General features: G+C 36.4%; 1 protein-coding gene across 53 annotated transcripts in view; it reads right to left on the reverse strand.

Annotated features, from left to right (window-relative positions):
• CAMK2D (calcium/calmodulin dependent protein kinase II delta) overlaps positions 1-22,489 on the reverse strand; it is a 310,707-nt gene that overhangs the window by 217,538 nt on the left and 70,680 nt on the right. For 5 of the 53 annotated variants that reach the window (NM_001399861.1, NM_001399862.1, NM_001399860.1 and 2 more), the window contains exon 3: positions 8,939-9,039. The exons of 46 other annotated variants lie outside the window; for them this stretch is intronic. In NM_001399861.1, the coding sequence (NP_001386790.1) occupies positions 8,939-8,981 (43 nt within the window). In that variant the 5' untranslated portion in view covers positions 8,982-9,039. Of the gene's footprint in view, positions 1-8,938; positions 9,040-10,833; positions 10,928-22,489 lie in introns of all 53 variants that reach the window. 2 more of the 53 variants (NM_001399865.1, NM_001321585.2) reach the window with 1 other exon arrangement.

Genomic DNA, 22,489 nt, shown 5'->3' on the forward strand with positions numbered 1-22,489 from the left:
TTCCATAAAAATTATTTATTTTACATGTATCCTATTATAAAAATAACTGTTTTTCATAAAATCATATGATTATGCCCTCCAGGCCACCGATAACAGAAATAGTGGGAGAACCACTGGTATCTATGGTCAGAAAGAGACAAACTGAATACAGTAAAATACGGACAAAAACTCACAATTATTCAGTTTTATAGTATATGCTAAACATCTCAAAAATAATATAGAAAAAACTATTATTTGTCTGAGTGTAAAATTTGTAAATAAATAAAATTGTTCGGTTTTATCTATAAACTTACTATATTCTTTTATTCATCCATTTTGCATATCTGAAACATCTCTTCTGATTAATAGTTTATCATAAAATTGTTTAAGAGGGAGCTGCTGTATAATATATTTATTCTCTTTCACAGGACTGTAAAGGAATAAATATTGATATTTGATGGCACCATTCTTATGTTGTCCTACAGAAGAAATTATTTTCCCTCTTCCACAACAATAATGGCATCTATTCAGAGATATAACATTATATATGTTATTTAAAAATGCTTTACACAAAATTATGAAAATGTAAAGCAAAATCTACATTTTATAGGGCTCTTGTTCAGTTGCAATTTAAGTGAAGATACAACCTATTGTAGTCCTTTTAAAATTATAAACTATAGTGAATCCTAATTTATATAAAATATTTTCATATAAATGTTTATTTAATGTCTGATTATATAAACTATCTACATAGCTATTAAGAAGGAGATGGGCATACTCTGCTAAGACCTAATAGAAGTTTCAAGAGAGCCTCTTACTAAGCCTTATACTACTTCTAGGTGATGGGCTAAGGGGAATCTGAATTGAGCTTTTATCCCTTGGGAAGGGGAAAAGTGGGAGCATAATTGTGTAGAACAGGTACACTGGAGGAGGTATAGTATTGAATGGAGACTGTTGGTGGACTGTAGATTTCCTTTGGAAGATCAAGGAAGGAGATGGGCAGGAAACTCTGATTATACCCTTCGTAGCTCTACCTGACATTAGCGATCTCCCCTCAGTTTTCATACCTTCTGTGATGGTGTTGCTGTCTTCCTTTCACGAGAGTGCCTCTGTCTGTCTGTCTGTGTGTCTGTCATTCTGTTAACATGGCTATATCACTCACTGCATGTTCCAAGATATGAAACATGTCTTATGAAGGTCACCAGAGGATTTAGGCAGGAGGAGTAAACCAGGAAGCATAAGAAGAGGAGAGTGGTATGCAGAATGGCCAGATAGCCAGGACATGTACCTTCAGGAGAAAGAGGATCCAAGCAGTACTCAGTAGGTCAGAGTCAAGACCTGTCCAAAGGAGGAAATCAAAACTTCCAGATGGCATTAGGACACATGGTATCAGACAGAGTTCACACAGAACAGATGACCATCTGTCAACAGTACCATTTAAAACTATTATGGCTGGGTGTGGTGGCTCACGTCTGTAATCCCAGCAATTTGGGAGACCCAGGTGGGCAGATCACAAGGTCAGGAGTTCGTGACCAGCCTGGCCAACATGGTGATACACCGTCTGTACTACAAAAAATACAAAAAATAGCTGGGCATGGTAGCGTGGGCCTGTACTCCCAGCTACTCTGGAGGCTGAGGCAGGAGAATCGCTTCAACCCAGGAGGCGGAAGTTGCAGTGAGCCAAGATTGTGCCAGTGCATTCCAGCCTGGCTGACAGAGCAAGACTCTGTCTCAAAAAATAAATAAATAAACAAACAAATAAATAAATAAATAAAAAACTATGATGTTTCAACTGATTGTTAATATTGTAAGTAACAAGCCCTTATATAAACCACAAGTTATAAGGATATTAGTTGGTGCATGTTAAGAATTAAAGAGGTTTAAATTTGTCTATATCTTTATTTTAATTGTATATCAATAATTTAATTCATATAAAATTATTCCAATTATACTATTATAGAGGACTGATGAGATAAATTTTGTATAATATATTAACTCTACCCTCAGTCTACAATCAAATAGTACTTTCCTTAGATGTAATTTTGCTTGTGAGAAATTTGCTGCACAATTCCATTTTGACTTTTAGGCATAATAGAGCTAAGTCACTTGAGACACTTTGTATTAAAATCCTTCAAGCTTTGGCTATCTAGAGATTAGAAGGACCCAGAATGGAAACAAGGCATACTAAAGATAAACACATCTCTACTAAAAATACAAAAAAAAAAAAAAATTAGCCGGGCACAGTGGTGGGCGCCTGTTGTCCTGGCTACTCGGGAGGCTGAGGCAGGAGAATGGCATGAACCTGGGAGGCAGAGCTTGCAGTGAGCCAAGATCGCGCCACTGCACTCCAGCCTGGGCAACAGAGCGAGACTCCGTCTCAAAAAAAAAAAGATAAACACAATCCACCCTTAACCATCTTTTTCCAGTGGCCCCAATGATTTTTACAGGCAGTTGTACAGTAACACAAGAGAACACTTACTTCAGGGATTTTGTTTTTCTTTTTTTGTTTTCTTATTGTGGTATGATAAACATATTTTGTTATTCTTAAGCATTTTTCCTAAGAATTAAGTACACGAATTTATACAAAAAGTGAAAAGTATAAAATATTTATATGGTTTTCCACAGGAAAATTTTCCTTAGGTAGTTTAATACTAACACATTAAAAATAGAGATAAAAGAATAACTTTGGATAACAATTTAGAAGAATAAAGGGAATGAAATGTAAAAGAACACAGATTTTTTATGGTTCCTTTAAAGCATCTGGAACATGCTGTTATTCATTTTTCTGTGACTGAGTTCTCCTGAGAGGTAACTGTGAAGCTAAAGTAGCTTAGGCATCTGGGCCCTTCATATGCACAGACTCCTGAAAGGACCTTAGCAATGTTTACAGACTCATATGTTTTCATAAAAGTTGCAAAACATGATATCTTAACAGTAATCAGTTATGATCACTATTTCTTTCCACTCTCCTTTTTCCTCCATCGCACTTCTCTTTGTGTTGGGCGACACTGGAGCAAGCATGAACATTTTTGAGATCTAACAAAGGGAAAGTTGAGCTGCACTGAACATACATGTAGTTTAGGTTTAATAAAACATATTTACCTGGTTTGCAGTCACTTCTATGTTGAGGTATGTTATTGCCAGCCATCCCAATGTAGGGATGTTTTGGAAATACACCCACCTCCCAGTCTGCCATGAGATAACGATGTTGACACACCAGAGGTGGTATCAGCATATGAACCTGAACTACAGATCACCCTACAAGTGTGTGAACAAAGGAGGAGGAAAAATGTTTTTGTTATTTTTCTGGAATTTGTTATTCTTTGTAGTATCTGTCAGCTTTTTAAAATTTGTATTCTTATGACTATTTCATCCTAAATATATATTCACTTTTGAGTTTAATTTTTTATTTGTAATCTTTTCCTTAGGAAGAACCTCCCAGATTGCATACATGTGAGGTGCTGCTAAGTGTGGATGCATGTTCCTTGTTATGCTTATGAAAAAAAGTAGAAGATGAGAATGTATTGTTTAAATTCTAAACACAAAAAAGACTTGCATATTAAAATACCTCAGATAATTTATAATATTAACTTTCTTCTTTAAGTGAATAGAATCTCATTTATACTGCTAAAACTAGTCATTAAAATCCCATACATATCTTATATTACATTAGTCATGAGTGACCCGCCATAGTAAAATGATCACTAAGTTGAAAGTCAAGGTAAAGAAATTGGCTTCCAGTACAGACTCTGCCAAGAATGACAAAAAAGCAAATCTTATACATGTGTAAAGGTATATTTATTCCTCTCTATCCTATTAAGATACTGTAAGTTTGAGATACTATGTATTTATTTTTAAGGGAAAAAGTCCTTATATCAGACATGCTACTTAACATATTTGTAATTAATATTTTATTAAGCAAACACAAGGGAACTGCTAGCTGTTTTGGAAGATGAAGTAAGATGTTTCGGTTTAAGTACTTGCAAACTAATAATTAAACTAGCAATTATAAGAATATCCTTTGAATTGAAAAAAGAAAATGAAGTTATCATTGATTGAACTACAATCCCCAAGTTAAAAAATGTAAGACACTTAAAATCTTGCATCTATATATTTTAATTCTATTAATTGAATTAATTTAATTAATTAATTAAAAATAAAATTAATTTAATTCTATATTCTTTGTTTACCACATTTGTGAATGCTTTCATTTCCTATACATACACACACACAAACACACACATAAATGAGGTTTAATGCAGCCACCTAAATGAAAAAAAATACTACTGAGTCAAGATGTTTAAAATGAAATTGTGTATCCCATGTACCTCAAAAATATGTAAAACTATGACATATCAATTAAAAAATATAAAACAAATGAAATTTTCCGTTTTAGCTGAAACCTTGAAGGCTAAAAACAAAATAATTATCAGATACAGGTGCCAAACCAGAACTTGCCAAGGGTTCATTTGAAGCCATTCTGTCATCATGAGCCCACTGTTTGCTTTTGGCTCTACAAGAGAAGGTAATGAGACCCCCAGAGAGGACTACTCAGGATAGAGTGGTTAGAACATTCTGTACCACCTCCTACTTCACACCACAAAAGAGCTTACTCAAGGGTACCAAATTGGAAGGGAATGAGTGTCTCTGAGAGAAATATTTGAAAAAAATGCATCTCCTGGAGTTAGAGAAAAATAACTACTACCTATTTTAAATCTGACTTTAAAGGCAGGAAATTGTGGCTTGCTAACTGTCCTGGAATTGCAAAGCCTAGAGGACTCCATTGTGATCAGGCTATGCTTCCAACAATTGCAAGAAAATTCTCATGGACAGGATACAGGCCCACAGGAGGAATGATCTCACAAGGGACAATGCCCAAAAGGACCACCTGGCAAGGCAATGTAATCCCAAAAGTGGGGTGTAAAGCCAGAAACCCAGGAGCTGCAAAGACAGCTAAAAACATCCAGCCAGGGGCGGCATGACTATCAGAGGAACTATACCCAGAGGTCCCTAAGAGGATTTATCCGAAGAGAGAGTCAGCAATCATGCATCTAACAGAGGGTAGCAGTGCAGGTTGGAACTGCACCAGTGACTCAGACTTGCCCAGTCCCTTACAGCTCTTCTCTAAAAGGCCCTAAGGGCAGCCAGTGAGTGGGAGAGGAAGTCAGGTGACAAAGAGTGTCAGTACCATACACCCCCTGGTGCAAGGAGGCTGTCAAGCCTGAAACAGGCCCAACCTGAGGTAAGAAATTTTAAATGATTACTCTGATCAGGACTTTTAAAATCCTGAAATGAGACTGTTCTTGTGACTAAAAGACACAGCAAAGCTCTGAGATCTAACCAAGACTTCTTACATGGCTGAAATAAATATATTCAGTGGGAAGAGGAATAAAGTTGTTCCCACTTGCATCCCACTGAAGCTAGATGGTTAGAATTCTGATTACAGATTTATTATAAATATTTAACAAATATATAACCATCTAGTGTTTGAATTTACTGAATATCATTGCCTTTACATCACATACCTCTGCTTTCACAATTCCATGTCCAATACCCTTTGGAAGCAGAGCTAGGAAGAACAATCTAGGTAGATTATACTAAAGCAGTTGTTAAATATGCTTGCATATTTTTTTAAAATCACCTAAAATTTTTCTAGATAACCTACACTTCAGGAGTGTATCATCTTATTGATTCTGATATTGAATTTATGATACATATGAAATGCAGAATAAAATTCCCCAGACTGAGCAGAGTGGTATTCTCAATTAATCATCATTCTAGATGTCATCGTTCATCATTCATTGAGAAGGAACATTTACCTTTTACCCAGAATGCTCTGTCTCAGGTAAGTACTGCATCATTTAGAACACACATTTGGCATTGTCATAGCATTACAAGTGGGTCAGGCCTAAAGTTAAGAGCTTATTGCAACTCTGCCTGGCTTGATGCCCACAGTTTACAAGGAAGCATATTCAATGCCACTTAAATTGTCTGTGGTTCCTTCTAAATTCTGAAAGAGGAAGATTCCTCTATGTGACAAACTTCAAAGCTGGCAGACAAAAACCTGTCCAGGCTGGACAGTTAATTTCCTCTCCCATGGGAAATTAACAGATCTACTGCCCACCTGCTAAATGTCTGTCTGCAGAGTGATACTGAAAACAATTTCTGACTTGTGTTAATCCACAGATATTCTCAGAGCTTAAAGAAGGCTTCCTAACAAATGGAAAGGGGGTGGCAAGGGAAGCCCCAGGTGCTTAGTGGGTTTTTTGTATCACAGTTAACAGAAATCAATGACTACTCCCCCCGAGAGAATAAACAACAGAGGCACTAAGGAGGAACTTCTACTATTTGCTCCTTAAAACTTGAGACTCTAGGAATTCTGCCAAGTGACCTGGAAATAAGGGACTGTGACCAGAAGCCTCTGAAGAGAGCATCATGCATTAGCTTCTTGCAGTAGAATTAAACATACTGCTAACATCCATGCGTGCATATTCCATCTTTGACAACTTACCTATCTTCTACACAATAGAAAAAGAAACTCTTCTTTTCACATAGCCTAATTCCTGACTTTTCCCCTACCCTTGTTTTACCTTTTCCTTTCACCTTAATATTGGCTTTAAAAATCTCATTGTAAAACATGATAGATTCTCACTGAAAAACATGTATATTTCAGCTTAAAGAAATAAATATGATATAAAACTACCCCACTACCTAGATATACCACTATTTACATTTTGATGAATGTCTTGCCAGTCTTTTCCTAGGCATATATATAACATATTGCTTTCATCTTTAAAAATCATAACTTACATACTTTCATAAGCTGGTTAAATCCCTTAGGCAATTATTGGTACAGAGAGATTGCTCACTAGCCAGATAAACAAATGGAGAATGATAAAAGTTTACAAACATGAATGGAGGTGCAGACAGGGGAAGATCCTTTCCAGACAAGATGTATCCCCATATCAGAGAATGCCCCTCCGTGCAATTTCTGTCAAAAGGATCTAACTCATTGGTTCCACAAAAAGTTAGTATAAATGGTAAAGTTCCCATGGAATCAGAGGAAAAGTAAGTATTCTGATTAAAAAGTTCATCTCTGAAAGAAAAAAAAAACATGCGACTACTATGTAATTAATGTAGATGCAAAGGTAATTGTAGTCAGAGAGGTAAAATTCCATGTAAAGTTCATAAAATTTGCACATGTGCATAAAATTAAAAATAATAACACCTTCCATCTAATAGAGCTGATGCACTATTTTCTTCATTCATAATTTATCCCTATGCTTTATTCATTCACAGCTACCACTTGTCTTTGGGTAAGCCAAGATCTGTACAGCTTCTATACCAGTGATTATGACACAATTCCTATCATCTTGAAATATGCAAGCCAGATGAGGAAACTCCTTTAGTTCAGATTTTCATATATCTGTATAATGGCCAAAATATAATGAACAATTGGGAAAATATAACATTGAAAATCTAGAAACTTTATCTCTATCATACAAACCATTCAAATCTTATGAAATGTTTACTGGGCACACTAAGTGGTTCTCTTTCCCCACCACCATTCAACCCACTTTATGTATTAAAGACTTGGCATCTATCCAGTCTTCTACTTCACTGAAAGTTTGCCAACATTCTGGGCTATTTCAACAGACACAAGGATAACTGGTTCAACACTCAGCCTGTCAGTTCCTTGACCTCCCTGTCTCCAGTGGTCTTCATTTCCACTCGATTTCAGTCACCACTCTCGCAGTCATTCCTTGAAACTTGGCCATCCTCCTCCAGAATCAGGGAGTTAAAAATCACAGTTGCTGGCCATAAACTGCCCATTTTCTAGATTATTCAGTGTCTCCTAGAGTGGCTTTTTTTTCAAACCATCAGGAATACCAGTCCACTGACTCCTCCACTGTTCCCAATCCATAAGTCACTTTATTTACTTTGCTCCACACAACTCTATGCACTCTTTGACCCTGTCATGCTGGCCTTCTTTGAGTTCCTCAAATGTGCCATTGAAGGAGTTAAAAATATACCATTCTGGCATAATGACTATTGTGAATTAAAGGTACTTGAAAAACAGCAGGTACAAGATCATTCTGGCCTCCTTTCTGTTTCTTAAAAGCAGGAACACTGAAAGGTCCTCTCCCTATACCAGAAGGAAAGCAACATTCTTATCATCAAGGATGGAAATTTGAGCCAAAGAAAATTCTGTACAGACCTTGCTAAAATAGCTCTTGTCTCTTAAGCCTCTCCACATAATTTAGTTGCTTTTTCACAACTTACTATTCTTTGTCCAATTCAATCTATAACTGATTCACTCTAATTGTTTCTCTGGGTCTTCATTTCTTCATGAGGACTCCCACTGCTTTGTAAAAGTTGTATTAAATCAATTCCTGTGCTTTTCTCCTGTTAATCTGTCCTATGTCAATTTAATTCTTAGGCCTAGCCAGAAAAAACCCTAAAGGCGAAGAGCTAAAATTCAGCCTCACTCCCCTACACTATTGGGTTGCCTTTAGAACCTTTGTGCATGCTATCCTGGCTGCTGGAATACTAATCGCTCCTCTGTCTGATTTATGTCTGTCTATTCATTCTTTATATCCTAAAGCAAGTATCTTTTCTTCAAGGAAGCCATTCCTAATGTGCTCAGACTCCCTACCATTGGCTCACATACATAGCACAAATTCCACCTCTATATTATACTTGACCCATTTGTGATTTCTATTTAGCTGAAAGATTTTTTTTAATGCTCTGTCTCTAACAAAATAAGGCCCAAGACAGCAGGATCTATGTTGATTTTTTTTGTTTCACCATTTTATACCAGCTCCTAAGACAGTGTATGATCTACAGCAAATACTCGTAAATATTTATTAAATGCATTCAGAATAAACAGGAAGAAGGGGTATCAACAGGAAAGTGAAAGTAACAGAATGGAGACTATATCTGATACAACTTGGCTTACTTCCTTCTTGAAGGAACTTGCTCGTCTTACTTCCGTCAGACATGAGGATAATCTGTCAATCATCCAGAGCCTTCTCTAAGAGTCAAGCGATGCAATACCATCTAAATAAGAAGGCCCATGTCAGTAGTGGCCCTTGGATAAGAACTGAGTAGATTCTAGTAAATTCAATGATTACTGGATTGACAAAAATGGGATTATTTATTAGGTTATCAATCTCATATATGTGATATATATGATATGAGCTGAATGACAGGCAATGAATTAAAGAGATAAGTCAGTCAAGTAAAAATAATCTCATGTATACAGAGGAAAAAAATGGCTTTTCATGGTAGCAGAATACATATAAATCTAAAGGGGATATCATACTTGTGTTAAGTGGAAAATATGCATAGGATAGTATCTAGTAGCATCTTGATAAAGCTTCAGAGATCAAGCGAAACTATGCAATAATAGCTATGTGATAAAATAAATGTCATGAAAATAAAGATTTTTTAAAGCTATCTATGGTAACATCTCAAATAACTAGAATATTTTATAATTTGATTGTTCTGGTCAGCTGAAAATCAGGCTGCCTACAAGTTAAATGAAAAATACCCTTTTTGTAAGAGTTGTCATTAGAAATCCTCATAAGCTAGGTTAACTCAAGCCCCGTTTTTAATAAGAATAGTTCTATGAAGAAGCTGCTATTAGGAGACAGGCTAAGCCACACAGTAGAAAGAAGCTGAACAGCAGAGAAAGGTGGATCTGAGAGCTCTTTAGCAGGCTCTGGTGAGACCCTGGGCAATGGACCTAACCTTACTGACATTAGTTTCCTCAGCTGTAAGACATGAAATCATCGTTCCCTAGGATCCTTGCAAGACTTCAAAGCCTTTTAGGCATCTATTCTCTTCGTGACATCAGTGGGCTAAACTAAGACCTTTTCCATTTCTGTGATTTTATAGTTGGTTCTGTGATTTTTTTTTTTTTAGTTTTTAAATTTTAGTTGACACATATTATAATAATTGGGGTATCAAGTGATATTTGATACCTGCATACAATGTATAATGATCAAATTAGGGTAATTAGCATATCCATCACCTCAATCATTTGTCATCTGTTTATGTCGGGAACATACAAAATCCTCTCTTGTAGCTATTTGAAAATATATAATAAATTATTAACTATAGTTACTCTAAACCCTACAGTGTTGTAGAAGACTAGAACTTAAATCTAACTAGCTGTGGTTCTGTGATTCTTAAAGGTCTAAGTGAAGCAAAGTAAATCCAGCCCACAGGCATTTCCTTCACCCAATTTTTTGAATATTTAAGTATAAAATACAAAGACAGAAAACTGCAGATGTCATGAGTATATTGCACAATGATCTTTCATAAAATGAACACACATGTGATCAGCACACAGATCAAGAAACAGATCTGGGTGCCATAACCAGCACCCAGAAGCCTCTCCTACTCCCTGCCCCTACCTCCACACCAGAATAACCACTATTCTGATTTCTAATAGCAGAAATTTAGCTTGTTTTTATATAATACTTTATGTAATAGGAATAACACACTATGTACTGTGCCTTGTTTTTATTTTAACCCTGGAACACATTCCACTCACCTAATGCTGCTCTGGGGTTCTAGTGCAATAACATTGTTAAGAGCTGCAAAATTTAAGATGGATGAATGGAAAGGTGAAAAAAAAATAAGGAAATATGAAAGGTTGTTAATGCTAAAGAGCTCATTAAACTTTCAAAGGCTTGTTCTAACAGATATAATTAACTCTGTGACCACAACATAAATAAACAGTGTGCAAAGTCAAAAGTAGCTTAGGTTTACTAATACACGTATGTCAAAATTTAGACTCTTATCCTCTTCTCTACTAACACATGCGGTTGTTTTTTAAATACTTGCCTCTCCCCAGCCATTTTCTTTTCTTTCTTAATTCTTCCCTAGATGTCCATCATATATTCCAGCCACATATTCTCCAGTCTCTGCTTTTTCTGTCCTGATTTTAAAAATCAATAATAACATGTAAAAGAAACCCACAGAAATAGTAAGTCATATCCCTTAACCATGGGTAGAGAAAAAGCAAATTTTTAAAAACGCTGAATTGAGTTTTGACGACTCTGATTTCAGAACATAAAATAATTTTAAGCAAAACTTCTAAATGTAAACTGTGAATTAAAGAACAAATAAAGAAATACTAGCCCTCCATTACAATAGGAAATCTAATTTGGAAATACGCAGCATACAACTTACTTTATCAGATCAACTTCATAGTAGGTGTCAGACTTACTAGTTTTCTTAAGACAAAGATAAGCAAATCTAAACTATTTAAGAAAGAATAAGAAAAAAGGAAAGGAAGAAAGGCCTCTCACAATGATTTATTTGAAGACAGCTAAAGAAAAGTTACCTAAAGTGACTGAACCTTTCTTCTGGGGCATGCTTTGTTTTAATATGAAAATACAATTTCCAAATTAATAAACTACAGTATATGAAACAAGCCCATTATAAAGAAGTCTAGTAATTTGTGGCTTGAGGATTTCCCTTCTACTAGTCCTTTTTCACATTATTATTATTTTTTTCTTTTTTTAAAATCAAGACAGGATCTTGCTACATTGCCCAAGCCAGTCACAAATTTTTTCACATTATTTAAGTTCTTGTCATTGTTCAGATTCTATGGAAGCAGATGCTGAGATGGCTTATAGGGCGTAAGATATTTACATAGAAGACCTGTAAGATTTTATCAGATCTGGAAAGGAGAAGGAAGAAAGATCAGGAAGCATGAGAAACAACCATGAGGCAAATCCAATGTCTCAAACCAGTGGAGCACTCTAGAACAAACGCTGTCCATCAGAGTTGTCTAGTGCTGGGGTCTTAACTTAGTCATCAGATGTGAGGTGCCACAAGAGGGAGATGACTTTGGGAGGGCCAGCTCTGTGCAGCTGAAGCTGACCCTGACTGCTGGAGGCTCTCCTGACTGCCTTCCTTGGAGGGGCATCTGAATGGCCTATCTCTATGTCTGTTACAGTTCTTTCGTAGGACATGAGCTTAAAAAAAAGTTTAATAGGTTCAAGAAGCTGAGTGGGACAAACAAACAAAAAGATATAAATCAGAGCAACTCTAGGGTAAGTTCCTCTTAGGAATTATCTGGCTATGGACTGCTGCTTTGATAGATGAGGACACTGAGGCACACAGAGGAGGAAATCTGCCTAGTCACATAGAACAAACGTTCTTTGTGTTATGGAAAAACCTGTCCTTGGCCTGAATGTGGGTGACTCCCATTAGGATACGGAGTGATGGCACCATCCTGTGCAAGGACTAGACACAAATGAAGGCATTTTAATGATAGGTCTGATTTATGGAACACCTTTCTCTGGGGCAGCACTGGGAACTTGGCTAGCATGGGCTAATTAATCTTCACCATCTCCCTGTGAGAAAGGTGGGTCTCAAAGACCATTCCCCTAAATTAGGAGTCAGAAAGAATGAAGTACAAAAGGATTTCTGTAATTTTCCTATAATCATTCATTAAATTATGAAGTGCTGGAAGACCCAGGTATTTCTTAGCTCCCTGTTGACTACATTTACTGAAGCAAATATTGTATTTTACTGATAGTCATATTTAAGCTATATTTCTTTCCCTTTATTCTTCATATTATGTGCAATACTTCTGTATAAAAAGTAAAAAATGAGATACACTGTGTGATATGGTTTGGCTGTGTCCCCACTCAAATCTCATCTTGAATTGTAGTTCCCATAATTCCCACATGTCAGGGGAAGGACCTGGTGGGAGGTAACTGAATCATGGGGGTGGTTACCCCCATGATGTCATGATAGTGAGTGAGATCTCACAAGATCTGATGGTTTTATAAAGGGCTTTTCCCCCTTTGCTCAGCACTTCTCTCTCCTGCCGCCATGTGAAGAAGGATGTGTTTGCTTCCCCTTCCACCATGATTGTAAGTTTCCTGAGGCTTCCCCAGCAATGTGGAACTGTGAGTCAATTAAACCTCTTTATGAATTGCCCAGTCTTGGGCAGTTCTTAATAGCACCATGAAAATGGACTAATATACTGTATATTCTTCATTTTCAGTGCAAAGATAGTGAGTGACATGGCCAGTCCCAAGAAAACATTCACTAATCCCAGAAAACTTCAAGATTATTTTGAGTAACAAAATCTCACCTCAAATTTTATGCTGAGTTAATTCCATGCTATAAAAATAAGTGATCATAACTGCAGGGGCAAAGATCATGGATAAAGACACCCAGACAATCCACTATTTAATCAAACTCTCTACTGATATTTAAACGACAACTGAAATATGAATATCTTATTTAAATGACTTCTGTTTTACATATGCCAGTAACATATTCAATTAAAAAAAAAAAACAGCCTTTTCCAGTTCCATTTTGTCATTTGATTAGTTTGTAATTCCAGTTTGCTGGTTTCTCCAGCACAAAGTATGTCTGTACTCAAAACTGACATTCTCTACCAAAATATACTAGAAAAAGCATGGGATACAGGAGCAGTGGACCTGAGTTTAAATCCTATTCTACCCCTTCCTTTCTGGGGAAATTGCTAAGCTTAATTTTCCATGCATATATGATGGAAGATGATAATGCTGTACAGGTAACTGCAAGAATTAAATCAGATTACATATGTTAAACTTTGCATCACAGAATAGGAGCTAAATGTTTTAGCTGTTTTGATAGAAGAGGAAGAGCAATCTTCAGTTTTAATTTATTCATTTTTTAAAAAATTGCCACATATAAACTGCTTTAAGAGGAAAGTATATGAGAAATTTATAAAAATGTATTTTTATATGAGAAAAATTAATTTCTCATATAAATTTATAATTTCAAATTTTAATTTATTAAAAAGTCACTCAGACTTTTATAAATTAAATTTTAAAATGTAGCTTTATTTATTTTTTCAAATATCAGAATATTATCATTCACCATTTTTATGCATTTCCAAAATTTATAATGAGGACTTTTTCTTCTTTTGGATTTGAATCTCTCATTTACTTCAGTACCATTCAGACTTCAACTTCTGTTCAAGACTGAAAAAAACTGTAATGCAATTATGAGTAGGCCATTTCTTCCTTCTTTCTCCTCTACTCCAACTTAAGTACCTAGAATCCTCACATAATCTCCAATCTTTCTCACATCTATTTTACTAAAATTATGCAAAAACCTATAATTTGATATTTATCTTATTTAAAATTAGGAATTGTATCATCTTAGCATTTGGTTCAGTAAACACATGAAAAGTGTTCCTTTACAATGACTATTATTCTAAGCAAATGTTTTAAATAAAATATTCCTCAATTGAAGTCAAAATTAGTCATCGAAGTTTTGCTGGATGAAATAAGGACTAAAGTACATGGGGCCCTATGACTATAATAAACCCATCTGCATTCACTGCTTTACTTAGATAAATAAAAGACTCATAGTTTCATCATGTTCAATCATCTGCTAGCTACCCTAAATACATTTGAGTCACATGATCTATAATGCAGAAAACAAATAAAAAGGTATTTGGAAATTAGTCAATGCTCATCCAACATCTGAAAACTGCCTTTCTAAATTAAAGTGAAGAGTGAATAAAAATCTAAGGAGCAAAATATTTTAAACACAACTAATATGTGTTATCTTACCCTATTCATGACATTTAATTGGTGATCTCAACTCCAGGTAATAGGCTGTGTGCACTTATTTTTCCCCACCCACCTCCTATCATACACAGACAAAAGAAACTATCTCAAGTGGGTGTAATGGTTCAGTTTCAAGCATTTCAAAATCCTCCACCACCTGCACAGGAAACTGTGACTGAAAACCAGACAGGGCACCGCAGAGCAGCACTGATGATACAGGAACATGGCTGAGAGGTGAATCTGGTTACTAGACAGTTGAATGAAATCAGCAGAGGGGAGATGGTACTCCCAATGAAGAGCACATGACACTTAAGGGCAAATAAACACCACCATACAATGAAAGAAGCACCAAAACCGGAGTTACTTATTAAGTGCTACGGAAACACAGATGAGAGAAAATACAATTTTACAACAATGCATAAAAGAGTTGTGAAGGCTGATATGGGCTTTGAAGAATAAATAGGCGTTTTCTGGGTAGAAAAAGATGAAGTAAATTTCAGATAAAAGGAATAGCATGATTAACATCACAGAGTCAGAAAACTATCTGGAAGGTTTGGAGAACAGCAATAGTTTGATATACTTGTCTGTGGATAACAACCTCAAATGTGAGCAGGGAAAAACATAAAAAGCTAACAAATTAATCCTGTGCTAATATGTTAAGATTTTCTGCTGCAGGAAATATCGGTTTTGATCAGAGGCACGAGGAACCAGATTCTGTGTGCAACACAATATAGTAGTTAAGAGTATAGATTTTAGAGTTAGACTGCCTGGGTTCAGACTGACTTTACCACTTAGGATTGTTTCTGACCTAGAGTGAGCTTTTTGACCTCTCTGTACCTCAGTTTCTTCTTTTGTAAAATGAGGATGTTAACAGCACCTACCTCATGGAATTGTTGAGAGATTTATATATAAAAAGTTAGAACAGTGCCTGGCATATAGGAAGCAAGACAAAACTGCTGGCTATGAATGCTGTTTTTGAAAATCAGGGTTGATGACACTGTGGAGTACACAATGGAACCAGAGAATGAAAGTCTACAGGCAGGGACTTCAGTTAGAAAGCTAATGAAAATTGTATCTGTAAAAATTAAATGCATCTGTGAGTACATTTCTTTGTAGAGATAACCACATTGGATAGCCATGTATCATATAAATTAACACGTCATACAAAATATATTTACATAAAAAGTCAGACACATGTATGTATGCATGTGTATGTATCTCCAAATCTCTTAGGCAAACTCATATACATGCCAGAATATAAGACATAAAAACAAATATACTCCCTACAGACAACCTTGTATGTACTGTATGTATAATTATAATTTCAAATTTAGTAAGTTGGAAGGTAAATGACTGAAAAGAATGATTGCTTTTTTCTTCTTTGTGTAACAGAGGACTTGCTCAGAACAAGGGAAGAAGATGACTATGCAGCTGCTCGGTAACAGCGTCTAGTCACACTCTGAGATACTGAGGTCAGCAAGAACAGAGGATGCACACTATGTCCCATCTTGCCTTTCTGCCCAGAAAGTCTCAGTTACTGGAAAAGCTTCAGAAATATTTACCAAAAAATCCATTTGAAATCCTGAAATTCTACTTCTCAGAAAAACAGTATTACTCTTGTCTAGAAATAACATTCAGGCCTCAAAGTGCTATACTGTCATTACTTCTAAAAATAAACTGAGCAAATCCAAGTCTTGAGGTCAGTTTCAAATAATGTGCTGCAGCAATGACACAAGCAACAGCTCCACTCTGTCCCACTGGAGGCAGTGCATTCCCTGAGGGCTTGAGAGCACAGGCCTGCTGCTCCTCATCTCTCCCTGGAAAGAGCTGGCAGCAGATGACCAGACAGGCCTCTAAGGCAGAAGGTACTGAGCAAAGTCCTTCTCTCTTTGTTGATTCTCTTTAGTAAGGCACCTGGAGAGAGTAAACCAATGATAGGAGGGAGTCGCCAATCCAGCAGCCTCTCCAGATGGCAGCTCAATTTTTCTCCTAGCATCCTCTAAATGATTTTCTAAGACCACCATCATGTGTAAGAATGCTTGATACCACCTTATATCATTTGAACAGATACAAATGACTTACATTTCAGACTTCTTTTTTTTTTTTTTTTTTAGACAAGGTCTTACTCTGTCACCCAGGCTGGAGTGGAGTGGCGCGATCTCTGCTCACTGCAGCCTCTGCCTCCCAGGGCTCAAGCAATCCTCCCACCTCAGCCTCCCAAGTAGCTGGAACTATAGGCGTGCGCCACAACACTTGGTAATTTTCATATTTTTTGGTAGAGATGGGGTTTCACCATGTTGCCCAGGATGGTCTTGAACTCCTGGCTTCAAGTGATCCTCCCAACTCAGCCTCCCAAAGTGTTGGGATTACAGGCATGAGCCACTGCACCTGGCCACATTTCAGACTTTAAATAGGAAACACATGAGCCCGTGAAAGGTAATAAATTAGGTGTATAAATTATGAAAAATTAGAGAAAAACAAAATTAGGTAATATTACAAGAAGTGACAAGTAGAGACATTTTAATTTTATGTCAATGTAATTAATTGATGCTATAATATAACCAATGCTATTTTTGAGAGATAGGGCTGATAATATTGTGGAGTATGGAACCAGAGAATGAAAGTCTACAAGCAAGGGCCAGGCACGGTGGCTCATGCCTGTAATCCTGGCACTTTGGGAGGCTGAGGTAGGTGGATCACTTGAGGTCAGGAGTTCAAGACCAGCTTGACCAACATGGTGAAACCCCCGTCTCTACTAAAAATACAAAATTATCTGGATGTGGTGGCGCATGCCTGTAATCCCAGCTACTCGGGAGGCTGAGGCATGAAAATTGCTTGAACCTGGGAGGCGGAGATTGCAGTGAGCCGTGATCATGCCTTGCACTCCAGCCTGGGCAACAGAAAGAGATTCTGTCTCAAAAAAAAAAAAAAGTGATAAACTAAATAAACGAATAATGAATAAATGCCAAGTCACTAAAATGTACTTGATTCTAAGCAAGATATCTGCTATTAAAACTTAATTTTTATCTTGAAAGAAATGGGAAGAAATTATCAAAATATTTTCAGATAATAAACTCCAAATAACTGATATTTATCTACATAGAAAGTTGTCCTTTACTATCTTTGTAGTAGTGTCTTCTACTATGGTTGTAGTAGTGTCAGTGCCTGTACTTTTTCTCAATTCTCTGTAAAAATACCTAAATATTGTTTACATATCTGAAAAGGTACAGGGACATACCTATATTCCCAAGTTTTCCCTTACAAAAGTAATTAACTTTTTATTTCTCTGCTTTGCTAGCAACAAAACTCTCAAAATCTTAAGTAAGGTACCCTTCTAATTGCCATAATAATTCAAACATTTCTTTAGGACCTCTAATTGTAAGAGATGATTTTTATTACACCTTTGATGCATTAATTTTTAAATTTAAGAAGGAAGCACACAGCTTACTTTTGGAATAAATTTCCTCCTGGAGTAATCAAGAATTTTGGAAATTAATTCTGTAAAAATTGTGAGCCACAACCCAAGCATCTGGAGTCCTACAATGCTCTCAATATATTTTTAACATGATCATTGAGAAAAAAGCCATCAGCCCTTATTTCTCAACGAGAGCCATTCTCATCCATAGTGATTAGTGTGAGATTTTACGCCAAGCTTTCATGAGTTTTAAGACAAACTTATTAAGCACCTTTCTTATTTACAATACAGGTATGTGTATACACACACACACACACACACACACACACATACACTTCAAGTTGCTCAATTTTAAAATAAAGATATCTTTTAAAAATAATATAGGTAGAAGGGACCAAAAAATGTAGCTCCAAAATGTAAAACTCCAGATTCATGGATATAAGTTTCCCAGGAAGGAAAAAAAATCAACTATGTATATAATAAAATGTTTGCAAAATTCACCTGGTAACCAGCCATGAGCACATGCATTCTCTTCTTTGAACTGATATGGTCGTGACCTTTCTAATCTGAGTATGGAAAATTATTAACCTTCTTCTCCCTTCCCCATTTGAAAAAAATAATTTCAACAGTCCTCATGTTAGATTTCCATTCAGGTGTTACTGAAATGTAGGAAAAACACATATTGGAGTATGTGGTAACCTTTTTATATGTTCCCAAGTAAAACCCATAGCAATACAATATTCACACAAAATGGGTGATGGGATGTTTTTTAACTTACTAACCATCAATTGATCTTACATGTCATTTTCTGTGGCTTGTGGTCACAAACCCTCTTCTTAAGGGCAAGCGAGGTCATCAATCAAATCCAATTCAGATGGCTTAACCAACTAGCATGCAAACACTGACAACCTAAATATCTGTTAGGCCTTTTATTAGGTGCACTAGTGACTGACATGGACCAATGGACACTGCCCTCCAACTCGAAATCAACAAGTCAGACAAAGGGTAGTAATATAGTTTGCTACAAGAAAAGAGCAAGTTTGTCTTGTGACTAAACAAGGAAACTTTCGGTCTCTAAGGGTTTTTATCTGGCACATCCTTCATATGAAATAACAAACTCAAGAATTCCTTGGACACCCAACCACCAGTTGAAAATGGGGAGCTTCTGACTGTTCTTGCCAGTAACATAAAAGCAGCCAAATACAAATGGACTGTTTTTATTCTCCTTTGTCTTTAAGATGAAATATTAAATCATCAGGCACCCTACCTGTTTCCTACATCCCTTCTTGGTTCAATCATCACAGAGAATCTTGTGCAAACATTATAATTTTAAGATACTTCTCTGTTACAAAATGATACATGAATTATAACTAATAAAGCAGTACACAGAATAATACTTATATTTGCAAAATGAAATACACACACGGAGAGAAATAAAACATTCACTAGGTAGATCAGGCTCAGCAAAATAAAAGCATTTAATTCTCTTGATTACTAAATAATGACTGATTTTCCATGGTTCCTAAATCTGAAAAGGCCTTCCAGAAAATTCTGCCCTCCAATGTAATCTATCAAAACTATATCTGTTGCAAAACAGTACAAAATTCTTGCCATCCAAAAGCAGCATGAAGCAAACTAATGGATCTCTCCTTAAGATTATGTATCTGCCAAACGTGTGTCCCTCACAAGGAGGTCTGTGTGTTCCCAGAATTTCATCTGGTACTAACCTCATTCAAAAGGTCTTAGAAGCTTTAGTGGGAGGGAAGGTGCATTCACCTTTCTAACTATGCCCAATCTTTAAATATGTGAAAATAAAATAGCTTTTCATCATTTTTCAGTTAAATGACATGCTCTCTGTTATATGTACTTGACATTAAAAATGGCATAGTAACCTTCATCTATTTACAAAATTATTACCTTCATACACGTTTCTAAAATTTGTGTCTCTAGCCTGCACTCTGTTCTGATTTCTAAACACTTCCAGCTGCCAGAGGTCCATCTCCAGATGGCTGTCCTATGAGGCACCTCAGAAGGACCCTCCACAGAACAGAACTCATCCTCTTCTAGTTCCTATTGCCCCAACTGATTTCCTCACCTTTAACTCCTTGGTTTCCTTCATCCCTGCATTCAGTCACAGAATTGCCAACTTCCGGACCCTATATATCTCTGAAGTCCATCACATCTTTGCTTTCCAGTTTCCACTAAACGAGGCCACCTCATTATTGCTTCTTGTCTGAAAAGCTAAGAGAGATTTTTAACTGTTTTCAGTCTGTCTCAAAATCAATCCTATACCCCAAAATGACCATTGAAGAAAAAAGAGCAAAAACAGATTAATATACAAAGAAGATGCAAAAAAAAAAAAAAAAAAAAAAAGGAAAGAGCACACTAAAAAAAAAAATGATGGCCGGGTGCAGTGGCTCATGCCTGTAACCCCAGCACTTTGGGAGGCCAAGGCGGGCAGATCACGAGGTCAAGAGATCGAGACCATCCTGGCCAACATGGTGAAACCCCATCTCTACTAAAAAAATACAAAAAACTAGCCGGGCATGGTGGCAGGCACCTGTAGTCCCAGCTACTTGGGAGGCTGAGGCAGGGGAATTGCTTGAACCCAGGAGGCGGAGGCTGCAGTGAGCTGAGATTGTGCCACTGCACTCCAGCCTGGCAACAGAGCGAGACTCCATCTCAAAAAAAAATGGTTAAAAGGATAAATTAGAACAAAAAAGAAGATTATTTTCCAATTAATTTCCTACTCTTGTCAATCTCTCAGAAAGCTGACTTCCTCCAGCATGAACAAAGCTGTTTGATGCTGAGAACAAGAGAACTCTCCAGTTACATTTGTTCCTGCAAATCTCCACTCCAGAATCTGTTTCATGCAGAACCCAACCTAAGATTCAAGGTCTGTAAGTTCCTATTAAACTAGCTACTCCCTGTCTCTCCAACCTTATTTTATTCTACTTTCCCTTTTGTTCATGATACTCCAGATACATTAGTGCCCTTTCTTTGCCTCCATCCTGTCCTTCTTATTCTTTCAGAAAGTTTGCACTTCCTTTTTTCTCTGGCTTAAATATTCTCCCCTTGCTTTTTCCACGGGTAGCTTGCTCAAATGTTACCAATTCATCTTCCCTTACTGTTCTTTCTCAAGCAGCCCCACTATCATTTTATTGATTGGAATCACATCACTTTTGTTATTTCCTTCATAGCACTTACTACAATCTGAAATTATCACATTTTATCACAAGTTTGACAACTTGTATAAAAGAAATCTGTTCTCATGCCCTACCAGTTTTCCATTCCCACTAGAACACTAACTTCTTGAAGGCAGGGAACACGTTGTCTTGTTTACCACTGTTTCTTCAAAGTCTAGAAAAGTGCCAAACACATAATGAACACTCAATAAATATTTTTTGAACATATAACCAAGCTACTATGAAAGAATTAACATTAAGTTTGAATACCACCAATACCATGGTGGGCGAATAGGTGACATAAGAGAACCTCCATGAAAAATGACAAAATGAAGCCAGATCAGGCAGGATAAAAGGAACAAAAAGTAGCTCAAACAAAGAAAAGAACAAAACTTAGCAAACCTCAAAATTTGATGACCAAGGAAAACAAAAGAAAATTCTTGAACAATTTAACATGATTTATAATTCACCTCCAATGCAACCCTACCTCCATTCCTGAATTCATACTACTGAAGATGTTGGTAAAATTGTGATGGGAGAACACAAGGTCACAGGTCCATAACTTCTACTACTCGGACCAATAATACATCTCATCTGAATTCCTATATTAGCCAAGAAAAAAAATCTATGGAAGGAGGTCCCAGGATGTTTAAGGAGGTAATTTAAATTAAAAAAAATGAGCTCCCAGTTGTGGGCACAAAGGTCCCCCTGAGCAGATGTGTTCCTACACTGATCTTTAGTCTTATGCCTCCAAACAAGTATCATCTTGGATAAACTGAGGCAACAGTATTTAATTATACATTTTATTATTATTAAGAGCCAAAGTTGTATTTTCAAAATATCTACTAAATGATGTCTATATTATTGCACATTTCCCAACTTCCTTATCTTTTTGCCACGTATGATGATTAGACTTCTCTCCCATTTAAAAATATCTCATGCTTTCTTACTAATGTTGAACAATTTCCAGATCAGTCCTGGGCAAGTTTTAATTTGAATTAATGTATTCACATATTCATTGATTTCATTATGCACTGTGCAATTTGAGAGATTTATAAGCTACTGTGAGACTAAAATTCAAAAATGGCTGTTCTGTATTTATTAGTTTCCACATAGTTTGGGGCCAGTTGTCTTCTCTTTCTGAACACTTCTCTTGATAACAGTAACAGATCACACAGGAAATATGAGAGATTGTTTATGAATGCCCTGAGACCCAAAATGCTTAGACATAAACTAAGATTAATTTATTGCACTAAAGAAGTAATTACAAGCAGAGTAATTAAGATTCACAATTGTCTTGGGATTTACAACAC

The sequence above is a fragment of the Homo sapiens genome, chromosome 4 (assembly GCF_000001405.40).
Source record: "Homo sapiens chromosome 4, GRCh38.p14 Primary Assembly".
NCBI classification, from domain to species: domain Eukaryota; kingdom Metazoa; phylum Chordata; class Mammalia; order Primates; family Hominidae; genus Homo; species Homo sapiens.